Source organism: Homo sapiens, chromosome 10 (genome assembly GCF_000001405.40).
Source record: "Homo sapiens chromosome 10, GRCh38.p14 Primary Assembly".
Classification (NCBI taxonomy): domain Eukaryota; kingdom Metazoa; phylum Chordata; class Mammalia; order Primates; family Hominidae; genus Homo; species Homo sapiens.
In genome coordinates, this window is record NC_000010.11 from 106,747,441 (window position 1) to 106,766,347 (window position 18,907).

Consider the following 18,907-nt stretch of genomic DNA (forward strand, 5'->3'; position numbering starts at 1 on the left):
TTTGATCCTGAGATTCCGATGCATAAATACATCAGGGCTCATCACCTACATAGATTCACTAGTCTTACAGTTGGTTTTAGAATTTTCCTCTATCTACTCTGCCTTTCTTTTGTGCTCAGTCAAATAAGTCAACCTTCAGTTTTTGGGTCTTCTCTACTCTTCTGTCTTGAATTTAGCATTCTGCATCTCGGTAGTTATCTACTATGACAACCCTATTTAACCTTCAATTTGAAAATGTACTTAAAGATACAACATGACAGATAGATAGGAAGCATAAGTGCTCGTGTTCTATAGCACAACAGGGTGACTACAGTTAACAATAATCTATTATATATTTTCCAATAGCAAGAGGAGAGGATATAGAATGATCCCAGCCCAAAGAAATAAATGTTTGAGAAGATGGATATGCTAATTACTCTGATCCGATAACTATATATATATGTATCCCATAAATATGTACTATTACGTGTCAATTGAAATATTAAAATAAATAAAATGAATAAATAATGCCACCTCATTCCCATCATCTGTCCTACATTTTTCACTCACTCAGAAAATATTTATTGAGCACCTCTTCCATCCATTCCAAAATGCAAATTTTTTCTCATTTTAACATCTTGTACATCAGTAGGTATCTTATGATTGTTCAAATGTTATACAGGCATACTTTGATTGCACTTCTTTTTATTGCTCTTCATAGATACTGAGTTTTTTTGTTTTGTTTTGTTTGTTTTTTACAAATAGAAGGTTTGTGGCAGCCCTTCATGCAGCAATTCTATCAGTGCCATTTTTCCAAAAGCACGTGCTCACTTCATGTCTCCGTGCCACATTTTGCTAATTTTTGCAATATTTCAAACTTTTTCATGATTATAACATCTGTTACGGCGATGTGTGGTCAGTGATCTTTGATGTGACTATTGTGATTGTTTTTGAGTGCCACAAACAACAACCATATAAGACTGCAAACTTAATTGATGCAAACTTAATTGCAAACTTAATGGCATGTGTGTTCTGATGGCTCCACAGACCAGCGATTCCCCCATCTCTCTCCCTCTCCTCAGGCCTCCCTATTCCCCGAGATGCAAGAATATTGCAACATTCACTTATTCGTGCTAGTCTGGAACGAAACCCACAATATATCTTAGATATACCTGTAGTTTAATTGGCAGCATTTTTTTTTGCTGATACATAAAATAATAATGCACCTCCATTTGATGAAAATTTAGACTTTATGATAACATTACATGCCACCAACTGTTCTAGGCACTTTGCTGTCTCTGCTCTGTGGTCAATTTCTTCTTACACCTGTGTGTGAGTGTGTGTAACAATCCTTTCCTTTTGTCTTCTTCTCCCACATTTACCTATGTTTTCTGCAGAAAATATGTCAATATTGATTATATTGACTAATCCTACATCTCAGCATTTTGCTTTCAGGATATAGAAAGGGGAAGCATGACTCAACCAGAGGAGGAATATTACCTAAATATACATAATGTGGCATACACAAATGATTTCATTTTGGGGAAAGTTATTTATCACATTTAAGTTATGGAGGAACAGAAATGCCATCATGCTAGGTAGAAGCATAATTTTGCTTTTGCTTTTATTTGGGAGTTATACATGGTTTCAAAATACCTGCACAGGTGACAAGTTTTCAAAGGATAGACTGTGATTTACTTCTGCCTGAACTATATTTCTCAGAGTCTCTGTAAGGTTTCATATTACAATTCACCAATAGGAAATATGAGATTTGGAAGGCAGGAAAGGGGCGCAGTCAATTCCTTCCAAGACTCATTTTAGTTAGAGGTAGTGAGAGGCAGATGCAGATGTCCCGACAGGTTCTAGTTTGTCCTTGTTCTTCTCTTCCCAATTCCATGCCCAGTTTTACTTGAGACTGCCCGCCTTGTGACCTCAGGCCCCAAACCTGCTTGGCTGCAAACTCACTGAGCAGTAGCTATGCAGGGAAAATATCCTTCCATATGCTTCCTTAGGCATTCTCTTTGCAGTCCTACCTAAGCAGCTGCAAGCCCCTTTATGGAAGGAACTGTGTTTCCTACATCTTTGTGGCCAGAATTTGGCCTGTAAAATCACTCCATTGAAACTAATTAAATGAGTTGAATAATATAAAATTGAGAAGCTACAAATAAAACCTTCAGCTGATTTTCTATCCACTGTTCCTGATTCTGGACAACAAAGAAGTAAAATACATGCACACATTAAAAATTCCCATTGAAAATATAAATTATTCAATCGAATCAAAATGAGATTGCCACATTTCAGAAACACATTAATATCCAACTCTTCCCTATTCCTCCTTTTAGCAGCAGTTAACATTTACTCATCACATATGTAACCAACCTGAATGATCTCATTTTAATCCTTACAATGAGTATACGAGGAAGATACTCTTATGAGGACCATTTTACTGATGAATACTGTAAGGCTTAAAGAAGTTAATTAAAGAGCTCAATGTCACACCCCTTGAAAACAGGATTCTGGCAAAGGTATTCTGACTCCAGAACTCCAATTTTTACACATTAAACACCATCTCCTATTGACTAAAGGCAACATTCAAAATCGATGATTGAATGAACAAGGATAAGCATACAAAGACGTGAAGCAAACTTAGAGGCCCTTAATTTGAAAGCTAAGTGAGGTGTGATCACTAGGGCCAAGTAAACTCCTCCTAATAAAATTATAAATTAAGAAGACACAATTATGAGGATTTTTTTTCCCTCTTACCCTCACTCATGGTAATCACTTGCATTCTGCCATCATAGGAATTCTTAGTGAAGTCTCGAGAAGTGACTGAATATTGTTCAAAGATAGAGAAGCTGCAGCCTATGGGGACAGGCATCATCAAGATAAGGATCACAGGAATCAGTGATGGCCATTAGTGAATGAAGGTCGCATGAAAAGTGATGGGCTCACACTGCAGAAGGGGAAATTTAACTTAATTTGAAGGTAAAACTTGCTAATCACAGGAAAAGATTAAGAAGTGGAGGAGGGGCCGGGCGCAGTGGTTCAGGCCTGCAATACCAGCACTTTGGGAGGCCGAGGCGGGCGGATTACGAGATAGGAGATCGAGACGATCCTGGCTAACACGGTGAAACCCCGTCTCTATTAAAAATACAAAAAATTAGCCAGGCTTGGTGGCGGATGCCTGTAGTCCCAGCTACTCGGGAGGCTGAGGCAGGAGAATGGCGTGAACCTGGGAGACGGAACTTGCAGTGAGCCGAGATCGCACCACTGCACTCCAGACTGGGCGACAGGGTGAGACTCCCTCTCAAAAAAAAAAAAAAAAAAAAAAAAAAAAAAAAAGAAAAGAAAAAGAAAAGGCCGGGCGCTGTGGCTCATGCCTGTAATCCCAGCACTTTGGGAGGCCGAGGCGGGCGGATCACGAGGTCAAGAGATGGAGACCATCCTGGCTAACACGGTGAAACCCCCTCTCTACTAAAAATATAAAAAAATCAGCTGGGCGTGGTGGCGGGCGCCGTAGTCCCAGCTACTAGGGAGGCTGAGGCGGGAGAATGGCGTGAAACTGTGAGGCAGAGGTTGCAGTGAGCCGAGATAGTGCCACTGCACTCCAGCCTGGGCGACAGGGTGAGACTCCGTCTCAAAAAAAAAAAAAAAAAAAAAAAAAAAAAAAAAAAATGCGGAGGAGGTGCAAAAGCGTTAGCAAGCAGCATTCATGTGGAGATCATTAACAATAAAAAAAGAAGAAGAAATACCACGCCTCTCAAGGTAATAAAAATTTTCTTATCTAGCACTCCTAGTGCAGGCACTAGAAACGCCTCAGTAGACCTTGGGAAGGGATCTCTGGGAAGATTCTCTGCCACTTCTCCCTGCTCCTTATCCAAACCATACAGGATTCTACTCAGAGGGCAGGGGCTCAGAATTAGAAGAGACTGCCTCAGAGAATTAGGGAAAGTGTAAAAGAAGAGCGAACAAAGTCCATTCTCAAAGAAAAGGGCTTTCTGAGTTCTTCTCCTGAACTCCATATTCTGAAATGTATCAAGACCTGTCAAAATCAGCAGTAAAGGACAGGCTCGCACTGTGAGAGCAGTCTAGGATGAGTCTTTCTGTTTTTGCTTGAATTTCTCTGGTTACAGGGATCTCATTACTCCTTAGGACAGCCTAAGGAGTTAATAAATAGCCTAGTGCATGGAAAAGTGTGCCTTTCATGGATCTAAAATTTTCATTCCTTCAATATATATACTCCAGTGATTTAGAATTCTGGCATTTTCATGCTAGAGGGAAATACAGAGGTTACCTACTATAGCTCTCTAATTTAACTAATGAGGTCTACTCAAGATATTTCAGTCTCTGCGTTGATGGATTTACATGTGTACATGTACAAGCATGTGTAAATCTGATGAATTTTAGTACCCTGTGTGTGTGTATGCACAAGTTTCTGCTGCTCTATTTACTGTAGTACACAAGATAGAAATATGTTAAAGGCAGAGCCTTGAACCTTAAAAAACTTATCTTCTAGAAGGAAATGAAAAGAAGACAATAAAGAAATATATATGGAGAACATACTAAGTGCTAAGTTACTTAATGGTAATAATGATAATATGTCATTTTTAATGCTAAAAATAAGACTTTGTAGCAGGAAATTGAAGCTTGGGCAGGTGAAATTGTTTCTTGGAATCACCTAGTTAGTTAATAGTAAAGCTAGAAATTTACACCTGAATATGTTCATCCTAAATCCATGCTTTTCCTACCAATCACATATATAGAGCTGCAATCTGGTACATGGTATGATATATTACATTTTATCTGTGACATCATCACATTTAAATTCAGAGAAGAAAGAGATTTCTTTTGTCCCCAAAAGCAGGAAGAACTAAAGAAGGCTCCATGGCACAGGTGGGCTTTCGTATACGGCCAGAAAGATCCACTGTGATCCTAATAAATGACAAAAATCCTCACACAGCATCTTTGTATTCAAAGACTAAAACTGTCCTGGCTCATAATAGGTGCTAAAAATTAATCATTGCTAAAATAAATAAGGACAGATATAAGAAGTATTGACAGATCCATAGACTTACTAGTGCTTACTATTACTTACCTGGACTCCTGGAATTTAGCATACAGAATTAGAGTGGGTAGTAGGTCAGAAAAAGTACATTCAACCCCACAATGGCAAGAACCTAGTTAGATTCTTCCTCTTCAATTTATGTTGCAAACAATGAGGAATGAGACAAATATTTGATTGGGGAGACACAAGAGTCCTTGGGCAGTGATATAGGAAGATGAATGGAGAGGCTTTTTCATTATTTCTCATTGGGGTGTTGGTGGTGGAGCTAAACCAGGGTAATGCTAAGGAGAATGGGGGAGGAAGTGGGCAGGGATAATACTATGAGGGAAGAACTGACACAACTTGGAAATCCACATATTTAAGAAGAGGTAAGACAGCAGAGATAAATATGACCCAAGAGTATTCACACTGGGATATGAGGAATCAGGAAATATGGAAGCCTATTTTTAAAAAGCTGATTCTAAATGGTAAGATATTCCACTGCCACCGCAACATAAATTGAAAGTGAGTGATGGTATTCATTTTGAAGTTTTTTGCAGACAGTGACCTGCTTCATAGCTTTGAGTAAGAGATGAGGCAGAGTATCTTGGAAAAAAAAAAAGCCATACCCCCTTCCTAATATATTATCGGTATATCTGGTCATTTTTATCTAATAGAGTTTTATGCTCTTTCTCTCCTTTTTTTGTAACCTTTTTAGACTTCATCCTATTTCCAGTTTGCAGAACCTGGAGAAGGAAAAATGCAGAGGCTCAGTCTCTTGTTACTGAATCCACTAAATTCACCAGGGGGCAGGAAGAGGAAAGAGTTACAGCCATCTCGCGCCACATTCTCTAAGTCTCTTTGGTGTGGGTGGCTTAGAGAAGTCTTAGGGGTACTGTGCTGAATAGCTGGTATATCTGAAGGAGGAAGAGGAATGGCCATGGTGACCTCGTGTGTATATAACAAACTATCAAACAATAATAAGAGGGATAAAAACCTGAAGTTGGCTCGGCAGCAATATTCAACAAGGCCTTGAGAATGAATGGTAATGATACGAGTCAGAATCAGAGAGAGAGAGAGGCTATTTTATATTCTGGAGTGTTTTCTGATCATGGACAGGTATGTTAGCAAAAGTTTATGAAGCTGCCTCTTTCGTGTCAGCCTTGATACTCAAGGTTAGAGGAGAAAATTTGGGGCAGCGATAATAGGCCAGGTATATTAAAAAAAAAAAAAAGTCACTTCAAGGACTAGCGGTGAGGCCCAGTGGATATGGATAAAGTATCTGCCAGTGTAGGAGTTTTACGTAAGAAGAGAACTCAAGCTCAAAAGCCAGACTTTATTGGTCCATAGCACAGTGGGCGCCATGAAGATACACTGGAGGTAGATTATAGCATAGTGTGCAGATAACACAGGCTCTCTAGCCAGACATACCTGGGTTTAAATTTCATTACTATTGTCTACTAGTGGGAAACATTAGGCAAAATTATATAAGATTGTGTTTATTTATTTACCTTATTTATTTCTCCTCTGAAAAAGAGGACTGAAACATCTCTGGATAATGGGTACCTCTTGTTGATGCCTTCGCATTATCTTCCCCACGTCTTTTGGTAAAAGCACCTTAGTCTCTCCTGGGGCATCATATTCCTTACTTTCTGTCCATGTGGTTTAGTAAAGTTGATTCTAGCCCGAGGTCTATCTATGGGCATTTTACCTAATCAGAGCCCATAAGATTTAATGCTAGGAGTTTTTCTGGAACAAGCAAGAAGTCCTTTTCTTTAACATTGGAGTGAATTGGGAAGATAGAAGCTTCTAGAGGCCACTGCAAAGAGATATTTTGCCCAAGTGAAGCTAAAACAGAGGAAAGGAGAGTGGAATGATGGGGAGAGATCAAGCTCTTATGCCTTTAAGAAGCCTATGGATACAGTGGAGTCTAATAAAGTTCCTTCTGACTTTCCAGACCCATAAGCCAATATCTCTTTAAAATTTTTTTCTTCTTAAAACAGGATGCATTTTTCTATCACATATCTTGAAAGAGTCTTGATCAATAAACTATTTCACATCAATTATTTGAGGATTGATTTAAACGATATATGCAAAATACTTAGCACAAGGCTTGGCACACAGTAAATGCTCAACAAATGGGACTTGTTGAAAAAGATGGGGAATGGGAAGTCATTCACATTGACTGGCATTGAACTGTGGGGAAGAATGAGAATGTGTATACATGCTGAAATGCACTGAGTATAGCATAAGGATAAACATTTATCCTTCTGCTATATAATACAGATGTCATATAACTCCCGGAGGGACATCCTTGAAACATAGCTGGCATTCCAAAATAACAAAGGTTCATTGCTGAGTCAGCTCTTGATTTTCCATGTGTGAATTAGTCACAGAAAATATGTATCACCATTCAGCTGTCCCTATTTCAAGCCAGCTGTCTGTATGTCAGAGCAACATAATCAATAAGGTAAGGCTGAACCTATTTTTAATTAAGTGAAACAGCCCCAAGATTGCATTGTCTTTTGCATAATTAATAGGTTGCTGAAGAGTTTCTAATGAGAAATGCCTTCCATTGCTTTATACTAAACTTGACTCAGATCCTAACAAACCACACTCACCATCCTCCAGTAGAGAATTTGGCTTTTGGCAGGAGGTTTCCTTATTTAAGGCATTTGGATACCACTGATCGTCCACCACCATGTTCTTTGTTCAGTGTCAAATGCGGCACCTTAGCTTTTACCTACTGAAGTGCTAAACTAAAATACAATTTCAAAATTTAAAGTTTTTTCTCCTGTCTTTTATTGGAGGATGAGAAGGGAGTAAGTCTTGAATTTGAACTGATCTTTCAAAACCTGGCTGTTACAAATTATGTGTTATGTTGGATAAACAACATCACTTCACTTTTCTGTTTCATCAGAATGGGGATAATAACCGCTACCATATAATCTTGTTAAGAGGATCAAATAGCATGATTATCATGTGGCTAGCTAGACCAATGTAGTTACTCAACAAATATAAATCCCCTGATGGAATTATATCCTTATGACACTCAGTTCTCCCATCTCTATATTTTTTCCCTAAGAAGAAAACCCATCTTCCCTTACAGTAACATAATCTTTGTGTGTGTGTGTGTGTGTGTGTCTTTTTTTCCCTTTTTAGGAATTACATTTCCTCCAACCTTGAACCATGCAGTTTGATTAGGTCTCAACCCCAGACTGTATTTCAATTCTTGGGGTAGATATGTGTCTGACCTACATGAGTAATGAATTATCTTGTATGTCCTTGATCCAAGCCAGGCCTCTCAGATTCAATCCCTGGAAATAGAGAAAAAGAGACAGACTGGCTTGATGGGGCTTCTAAGCTGTTAAAATGTAAGCCTAGGCTGGGCATGGCGGCCCACACCTGTAATCCTAGCACTTTGGGAGGCTGAGGCAGGCGGATTGCCTGAGCTCAGGAGTTCAAGACCAGCCTGGCCAACACGGTGAAATTCCGTCTCTACTAAAATACAAAAAATTAGCCAGGCATGGTGGCCTGTGCCTGTAGTCTCAACTACTCAGGAGGCTGAGGCAGGAGAATCTCTTGAACCCGGGAGGCAGAGGTGGCAATGAGCTGAGATTGCACCACTGCACTCCAGCCTGGGTGACAGAGCAAGACAATGTCTCAAAAAAAAAAATAAATAAAATAAGTAAGCCTAAAGCTGCTAGTGTCCACTGCTGTCACAAAATGGGGAAAGCAAACCTGATCATAAGACAACACAAAGAAAAACAAAACTAATAGAGATAGAAATAGATATGAATAATATTAACACTGGTAGCCAGTGGGCATTCAATATGGTTCTTAGGCACAAGGCATGTAACCAACTCACAAGAAGCATCTCATTTGATGAAGTAGGTATTAATTATTTTACAGGGGAAAAAACTGAGTCACACAGAAGTTATGTAACTTCCCCATGATTTTTTTACTTAGTAAATGGCAATGCTAGAAAGTAAACCTCAGTGTCCTTGAACCCCTTGACCTGCAAGTTGTACTGCCTCCCAATATAATTGATTTCCAGCACAGGAAAGAACAAGACCACTGTTGCTGTCAGTTAAATTAAAAGGACACCTATTCTATTAATGGTAATATTATGCTGTCTCTTACATGATGTCCTATATATGTAAGTCAGTTTTAGAAACAATCTGAACTCCTTGGAGGAAAGTTCTTATTTATGGTTGCTATGGTAGTATTAATAAAACCAGCTCAATACTCCCATACACTGTTCTTTTAGATAAACATAGAAATTGACCCTTCTGCTGTTAAAGCTTGAAACTTGTATTTGTTTTATCTGAGTTCCTTCCTCAGGAAAGGATCTTCAAGCCTCTCAAAAAAAAAGTATTAAAGAACTGAAACTCACCAGATCATGAACCAGATGCCTCCTTGCCCCTCCCTAGTTCCTGTTTTACACCCTGTTACATTGATTTCCTGCTATATAAACCCATACTTTTAGCCAGGGAGATGGATTTGAGACTGAGCCCCCGTCTCCTTGGCTGCAGCACCTGATTAAAGCCTTCTTCTTTGGCAATACTTGCTGTCTCAGTGACTGGCTTTGTGTGCAGTAGGGTCTTGACCAAACCTCCAGTGCTTTGGTAACATTATCAGAAACCACTGTGATAACGTAAGAATAAGCTGTTGCATGCCATAATTATTTCACAATTGCTATTTATTACTTCCAGGGGTGGCATGACCATTGCTACCAGAAATAAAAATAATTATCAATATGTTAGGTGATGAGGAAAAAATATGAATTTGCCTTCATTTCTTCTCTAGGGAAATTCTATGTTATTACCCATGGTAACTTAACAATTTGATTTAACACTAGAGAAATCTCCCTCAGTCCCATACACACCCCCAATAGCCAGGTTCCAAGCAGAAATGATTAAAGGAGGTTTCTTTTAACTACGCTTGCTGAATTATCCTAGATAGCCCCATAGTTCCTACATAATTTGAAGTAACTGGTTTCCAGAAGTGAGTCTAATAAATATTGCTTTGATTGACAACTTTTCTGTCAGCTTAAGGTAGTTGCTCAGAGTTAGAAAATACAGACCATGTGGGCAGAGACCGAGATTTTCATCAACAGTCATGGTACTATGCAATTTACGAGTTCCCATGCCTTCTCTAGAAAAATCATCCAAGCTTAAGGAACCCTTGTGAGCCATTTGACAAGCACAGTTGGCACTGTGGTCAAAAGAACTTTGGGCTCTCACCACTGATATGCCTGAGTGGGCTAGATTTCCAGGGCTCACAGTCCCAGCCAAGAACGTAAGGCTAAGAGGCAGAGACAAGAGCATTTGTTGATTTAGTAGAGCACAGACTGTGGTGACAGACAGCCTTCATTCAAATTCTGGCTCTGGCACTTTCCAGCTGGGTAACTTTAGCCAAATTACTTACCTTCTCTATGCCATAGGTTCCCTATCTGTTAATGATGATAATGAGAAGCTTACTTCAGAAGGTTGTTATGAGGATTAAATAGCTTAAGTTTAAGTAGTGCTTGTTGCACTACTAAGACGTGAATGGGCAAGATATGTCTGTATTCAAAAACAAAAGAAGGAGGTTTTATTTATTTTACTTAACACATCAATCAGAATTCACATACAATAATGTGTAATGGCTTTTATAAAAATAATTTTATGGCTTTTGATTAGAAGAGCTTTGCTGATCAAGCTTTCACATAGAAGATTCCTTCTTCAAGGAATAGGAAAGAAAATATTGCAATTAGCACTGGCGGAAGCAGTGGTGAGGTCTGTTCAGGTTATAATAATGCATAAATAAGACCTCTGGTGACATAGAAAACACTGTATATATGTACCATTTACATGGGAAGTGTTCTCATCTCAGTTCCTTTCTCTTGCCCATCCTTTCAATATTTTTCATTGTTTCTATTGGTAGGAACCAACTTCTGCCAAGCCCTACTTCCTACCCTCTAGTTCTGGGCACCATGTACAGATATTTGCAGTCATTTGAAAGTAGGACTTGAGAAAAGATTTGTCCCTCATGCTTTTTCATTAGCAAAGCAGCAACTCCATTTCCAGGATAAACTAGGGGGACAACATTCATTTATTTCAGTCCTTCATTTGCTTACTTTCTGAGGCCTTTCTATGCACATATAACACCCCCAAAAAGGGAGAGAATGAAAGAAAAAGACATGAACCCTCTCTTCCATAAACTAACTTTATACTTTACATGTAAAACACACAGAGATGAAGGTTTCTCATGAATACGATACAAAATTAGTAAGAGAGGGAGAAAAAAACGCTGACCAGAGAAGGAAGATTCAGTAAGAGACAGAGTTGAGATCCTGGAGAAAGAAGATGTCAATTTGGACTTTAGAAGCAAGGCTCACAGCATCCTGAACAAGAGCACCAGAGGGAGAGAGGTAAATAAGCTTCTGTGCAACAAAAACCTCCTTTAGTTACAAATGTCTCATTATGATAGGGGAAAAAGTGGTATCTTACCATATAGAAGTCCCTGTGTTATCTCTGAGCCAGTTTGTTTGCAAATAGCTTGTCTAACTTTTTCAGGCAGTTTTGCTAGCTTTTTAAGAGATTTCTCTAATGTAGTTCTCTGGCTTTCAACTCCCACAGGGGTTTTAGGGCAGTGTTTGAAAATGAGAAAGATAAAAATGCATTCCTCTTAGAAGTTCATATAAAAGCGAAAGAATTGGAGTGGAGGTGGGAAGCTATTATGTACTTCGGTGATCTATTCTGCCTGTAACTCTAAAGGCTGATGAGAGGCAGTGTGATTTCAGGAGGAATCAAGAGGAGATACTTTCACTGCCCTCATTACAGGGAGATCATTGGCTCCTAAAAGGTCACTGTCACAGTGATTCTAAATGACATGAATAAAGGATATTTAAACTCTTGTCTGAGCCAATTCCTTGTAACACGGTTTATAGTAGTAAAAATCTTGAAACAACCTAAATGTCTTTTCCACAGGCAGATTAGAGAAATTAGGGTAAGGTAGAATCACGTCTTTTGGCAGGAGGTAGGATGTACATTCAAAGGTATTGATAAATATTAATATCAAAATCACACTAGAATGTTCTGTGATTTGTTCTTACTTTGCCAGAATCTAAGATCTTGGAAACTTAAAAGCCACAGTTAACTTCTGATATTTTTCTTGTTTTCAATTTTACCCACCCATTCCCATGGACACAGCCACCTCTAGTTTAATTAGGGGGATGAACTGAGGCAGTTAAAGAAAGGAATGCTATTTCCTTTGTCCCTTTCTTTCTCTTGCTGCCCCCTTCTCTCTCTCTTCACGTATTTCTCTTTTCCCATACACAGATTCCCGCTAACATATATAGTTTATGTTTTGCATTAATTAGGCATAAGATTTACCTCCAATCTATATTTTTAGAGCAAAATGATATGTAGTTAACTAAAAATAATGATATATGCATAATAAACTGCATCCCTCAAAAAAAAACAAGGCATAGAACAGTGTGCACAGCTACCATTTATGTAAATGCAAGTATCTCTATCTATATATGTTAGGGACTGAATATTTTTGTCTCCTCAAAATTCATATGTTGAAACCATAACCCACTATGATGTGATGGTATTTGCAAATAGGGCCTTTAAGAAGTGATTAGGTTTAGCTTAGATCATGAGGATAGGGTCCTTATGATGGGATTAATGCCCTGATAAGAGGAGGAAGAGGCCGGGCGTGATGGCTCACGCCTGTAATCCCAGCACTTTGGGAGGCCGAGGTGGGGGGATCTTGAGGTCATTAGATCGAGACCATCCTGGCTAACACGGTGAAACTCCGTCTCTACTAAAAATACAAAAACTTAGCCAGGCGTGATGGTGGGCGCCTGTAGTCCCAGCTACTTGGGTGGCTGAGGCAGGAGAATGGCGTGAACCTGGGAGGCAGAGCTTGCAGTGAGCTGAGATCAGACCACTGCACTCCAGCCTGGTGACAGAGTGAGACTCCGTCTCAAAAAAAAAAAAAAAAAAAAAAAGAGGAAGAGAGATCAGAGCTCTCTCTTTCTACCATGTATGGACACAGACAGAAGGCAGCCATCTGCAAGCCAGAAAGGGAGTCGTTAGCAGGAACCAAATCTGCCGGCACATTGATCTCGAACTCCCCAGCCTCCAGAACAACGAAGAATAAATATCCGTTGTTTAAGCCACCCAGTCTATGGTATTCTGTTACGGCAACCCAAGCAAAGTAAGACTACATACACACAAACACACACACACACTAACACACACACACACACACACACACACGCACATTTGGCAATTCACAGAACATTTCTAGAAAGATAATTGAGAAACTAGCAATAGCAACTGTGTCCCACATGACAAGGGGAAGGCCGGCCAGGCATGCTGGCTCACACCTGTAATCCCAGCACTTTGGGAAGCTGAGGTGGGTGGACCACTTGAGGTCAGGAGTTCAAGACCAGCCTGGCCAACATGGTGAAACCCCATCTCTACTAAAAATCCAAAAAGTAGCCAGGCATGGTGGCGTGCACCTATAATCCAAGCTACTGGGAAGGATGAGGAAGGGGAATCATTTGAACAAAGCAAACAGAAGTTGCAGGGAGCTCAGACCGCACCACTGCACTGCAGCCTGGGTGACAGAGTGAGACTGTCTAAAATAAATAAATAAATAAATAACAAGGAGAAGGCCTACAAGATCTAAAATCAGGAATGAGAGGAAGATCTACTTTTAGACTAAATAAAACCTACTTATTTAGACTGAAAATCTTCATCTGAATATGCGATATATGTGTATATAATGCTTTTAATAATAAAAAGTCACTATTAGATTTTTTTAAATGTCTGTCTCAAAGGTTCCACCAAAATATAACAAAGCAATTCTCATAAAGCCCCTGCAGTTCACTAACCTCCATAATCCATTTGAGGTTTTTCAAGAAGACTGTGACACATTTTTTAACATTCTCTTAAAGTGTTTCTTACTCTAATGTCACATCCTGCCCTGAGGGGATGTGGGCATGTCCCAATAAGAACAGACCTTATGTGAGAGCACTGGTGAGAACAAGATTCCAATGGGCATTTACTAGGTCATATCTGACTAGGTCATATCTTAATGTGCTACAAGATAAAGTGAGACTTACCAGTAGAACCTGTTTGGTACAACCCCTTCTTGGATAAGCTGCCATCTTCTCCCAAATTCAGCAGAGCTGTATAACTGTAAAGAACAGAAATTACTCAGCACTATGGTTCTATAGTACATCAAATACACAAACATCAGTTCATTGGATCAATAGTAATAATAATAATACCCAACATTTACTGAACACCTGCCATATACAAGGTGAGTGCTCCATGTGTACCATCTCTATTCCTTATACAAATTCTGCAAGTCAGACTAATATCATCATTTTACAGTTGAGGAAACTGAAGCTTAGAAGGATTAACCGACTTGTGAGAAATTACATGTCAAAGAAGTGGTTGAATGAACTGGAATGCACACCCTGTTCTGCCTGGCGATAAAGTCAGCTGTGCCACTTGACCTAGCATGTGCTGAGCATTGTGGGTGATGCAAAGAAGTGCAAAATCTAGACCTGGTTCTGGAAGAGTACGCAATGTAACCTGAACCTGGCTCACATAATGAGAAATGCACGAGGCAGCCAGTGAGAAAATAATGCAGAAGACAGGAGCCAATTTAGGGATGCTTTCCAGATGCTGTGGTGAAACAGCTGGGACCTGAACGAATGACAGCATTCAAATGGACAAAAATAGCATTATTCACAAAAGGAACAACATGAGTTAAAGTGGTAAGATAGACAGGGACAAGATATAAATAAGCCTAGCTTATCTATGTAAGCTTATCTAAGTAATAATTACACATTATTCAGGCATCTAGCCAAGGAGAATCTGTAACTTTTTCTTTCTAAGTCTTTTTTATTATTCTTTTTTTTTTTTTTTTTTTTTTTTGAGACAGAGTCTTGCTCTGTCGCCCAGGCTGGAGTGCAGTGGTGTGACCTCGGCTCACTGCAAGCTCTGCCTCCCGGGTTCACGCCATTCTACTGCCTCAGCCTCCCAAGTAGCTGGGACTACAGGTGCCTGCCACCAAGCCCGGCTAATTTTTTTTTTTGTATTTTTAGTAGAGATGGGGTTTCACCATGTTAGTCAGGATGGTCTCGATCTCCTGACCTCATGATCCGCCCACCTCGGCCTCCCAAAGCGCTGGGATTACAGGCGTGAGCCACCGTGCCCAGCCTATTATTCATTCTTTGGCCATCATGCCTGGGGGAGACTGGTTTCCTGGGTACATTTCATGTTTGATATATTTTATGAGTGCCAAGGAGAGATGGGTGACAACTCCCCTCATAGAGATAACAGAAGATGGGACAGGTCACACTGTCTTAACTGAGAACTCAAACAGCCAGTGTATACATGGCCTGCTTCTTGCTCTCAGCATGTCCTGAACACCTGGTATTTCAACACAGAGGACTGTACAACAACAGCAGGCACCCAACCCGAGAGTATCCGCTTCTCTCTCTCTCCCCTTTGTCTTCTTTTTTTTAAGCCCGGAGCTCTACTTCTTTCTATAAGTTTAAAGGGAACAGAGTTCATACCATTGTGGTGTGCCTATGTCATATAGATATATCGATATTTAGTAACATACAAAAATTAATGCAAATGTAAAAGTATCAGGACAGTTCAAAATAATAATATGTCTGGGTAACAGGCTGAACTCATATACATGCTGCAAGAATAATATATAAACTCTGTGTGCTCCTATGGCTATACCAAAGGATTGCTATTCCTGCTCCCACAGAGAATTCATCTCTGTGAGGAATTGTTGGGCGCCAGCGTTTGTGGTTCTTTTTTTCTCTTGTTAAATGTATCCCCTAAGCTTGAATCTGGAGCCTGTGGACCACTCAGGTATGTCCCATGACATTTGTTTATATCTTCAAAGAGCAACTTTGTTATTTGTGAGCATATAGAGGCCCCTCAAGTGGTGGGTATACAAAACAATCCACTAAACCAAGCCTCTCTTATTCAGCTTACTGAGATTCTTTCAATTTACTCTCTCCAAAGGTAACTTTCGGTCCTGGTGGGCTGGCCCTGTCACCTTCTCACACATGCCCTGCTACGCCTTCACTGAGGCTGCCCACTCTGGCAGAAGTGGCTTCAAGACTTTCCTTCTTCAACACCAGTCTTGTTTTCAGAGCCAGATGAAAGGCCACCTCTTCTATGAACCCTCCTCTACCTACTAAGATTCCTACCGGTCTCATCTCCAAAGAACTGTGGAACAAGAGCAGATGCTATCAAACTACCAGCCACGTATTTATATTTAATTCTCTTAATAGCCTTTCAAGAGAACCTTTCACAAATGCAAGGCAGAAATTCCTTTCTATCTAAAATTACTCTAAAATATCTAAGACCACTTCCTGCCTCTTTAATGAGATTGCAAAGCTTTTAGATGTTGGAAATCCTATCCTTCTACGTGTACGGGTGCCTCAAACACAGTAGATGATAAAGGAAAAAGATAATGATTTTGTACCACGTGAATTTCCTAGTCACGTTTCTACCTAATAGAGAACACAGGTTTCACAATTGGTGTACAAAGAAAATTTATCAGAGGAATATGTTTTGCTTCCATGGATTTATAACTAGAGGCGTATACCTAAAAAACAAATAAAACACACATCCACAAAACCCTATAAATATCAGTATATTTGAAACTCCCAAGGATTTGAAAGCAGAGTCTTGAATATTCACTTTTAGACAAAATTGCTCTATATTCTCCACCTACTACTTCAGACATTTTCTCCCTAAAAAATTAATTGTCCAGCCTGGTGTTATACCGACCAAAAAGAAAACAACAACTCTGCCATTCAAGTTAACGTGTTAATTAAACCTACAGAGTCTGGAAGCAAAGTGCTCCTCCACAAAGAAGGGAATGGTATCAAAGCATTTTACCCAATGACTGTCTCAGCCACCAGCGGAAGGCTTTCCCTGTAGAATGAGTCAATGTCCTTTAATAAAATTCATAGTGTTGGCAGCACCTAAGTAAGATTTATTTCCCTCCCTGTCTGTCTCTGACTCCAAGGTTTCTTTTGACTGTCAGAACACGGAACTGAGAACTATCATTACTATCTGTCACATCAGAGAAAGCAGCAGCAGCTTTCTCTAGCTATGCCAAGCTTAGAGAAAGATAGAAAGATTAGGAAGAGAATGAAAGAGTACTTAAACTAGTTTTAGGAGGGCACTATTCCTCTACTAGTGCCGTGTCATGAACTTAAAAATGCCATTCTTGGCCGGGCGCGGTGGCTCACGCCTGTAATCCCAGCACTTTGGGAGGGCGAGGCGGGCGGATCACGAGGTCAGGAGATTGAGACCATCCTGGCTAACACGGTGAAACTCCGTCTCTACTAAAAATACAAAAAATTAGCTGGGCGTGGTGGCCGGTGCCTGTAGTCCCAGCTACTCGGGAGACTGAGGCAGGAGGATGGTGTGAACCTGGGATGTGGAGCTTGCAGTGAGCCGAGATCGCGCCACTGCACTCCAGCCTGGGCAACAGAGCAAGACACTGTCTCAAAAAAAAAAAAAAAAAAAAAAGCCATTCTTGGGTTTGATTTTGTTTAGCTAACATTAGTATAAATGTTGAAAAAGAACTGAAGGAGCAGAAATGTTAGAGAACAGGGAAAGATTCTGGTTATATCTGCAATAAGAATGCAACACAGAAAATCCTTTCTGTGTAAAATCATTCTAAAGTATCTGTGACTACATTGCATTAGTAAATACAACTTAATGAGCACAAACCCAACACTCACCTGTGCTCAAGATCTATTAGCAGCCTTAGGGCCTAACCCTCCACACTGTCATTATGCTACTCTGGGGCTATTAGCACTTCTCTCTCTATCCTGACATGTTCCTCTCCTGAAGGGTTTTTTTTTTTAAGACATCTTTCACATTGGCTTGTTTCCTTGCCATCTGTCTTTGTTTGCTTTAAGAAGAATGCAGATAAAAATACACTTAATTCCAAAGGATGAAATTGCCAGGGTTAGTTTCATTGAGAGCTTTGAGCCAACTGTTAGGCATCTCTGGCGCCATCCTCTGAATGTCTTTGGAGCTGCCAGTTGGGTGGTAGGCACTGACAAAGAGGGATGCCACAGCAGGGCAAAATAGCCTGGGGGAGGGAAAGAATGGGATGCACTGGTTTTGCTCAATTCCTAGTCTACAGCAGATGAAGATGGGATGAGAGAAGGGTAGCAGCCATTTCCAACTTTCATTTCCACCTTAACATTCACATTTTGGTTAAATCCCTAGAAGAGTGACAACTTGCTACTAGATAAGAAATTCAACTCCTTGTGGTGATCCACAAGCTTGCAATTGTCAGTGTCCCTAGAAAGTCTTTTCAATATTCCTAAATCGGATCAACGTATCCTCTCTTTTCAGATTGTTAGACAGGTGCACGTGATAGAATTCTCTTTTGCAGCTGGGAAATGAGTGAAAGAGCATCCATTTCAAAGAAATTTGTGCTACGAGAATTCCATAGAAGCTAAGAGTTGTGATAACGTTTTAAGTCTTTGGTTCATGGGACCAGATGTTGTTCACCACAAAGCTTCCCACGGTGGCTTCCCCGGTCAAGGGGTAGTTTCCTGGGGATCCTCCACACAGGCTCCTTAGGAGGCGCCTGTGTTGGCGGAAAACATCCTGCTGTCGGCTCTTTTCAAGGTTGCCTGCCCACTCCTCTTTCCTTCTCTCCTCTTAACATTTTGGAAGCAGGGGGCCTGCAAATTGTACTTCTTGAAAAGGCTGACAGAAAATCCTGCCAGTTCTATTTTATTTGCCTCATCCTAATACTGCCCTGGGGATGGCCTGGGTACAAAGCACTCATCCACCTTATGACTCTCTGCTT

At 40.1% G+C, this 18,907-nt stretch overlaps 1 protein-coding gene across 16 annotated transcripts in view; it reads right to left on the reverse strand.

Moving 5' to 3' along the window:
• Positions 1-18,907, reverse strand: part of SORCS1 (sortilin related VPS10 domain containing receptor 1) — a 607,476-nt gene that overhangs the window by 173,778 nt on the left and 414,791 nt on the right. For all 16 annotated transcript variants that reach the window (XM_017015617.1, XM_047424547.1, XM_017015615.3 and 13 more), the window contains exon 5: positions 14,148-14,221. In XM_017015617.1, the coding sequence (XP_016871106.1) occupies positions 14,148-14,221 (74 nt within the window). The remainder of the gene's footprint in view (positions 1-14,147; positions 14,222-18,907) is intronic.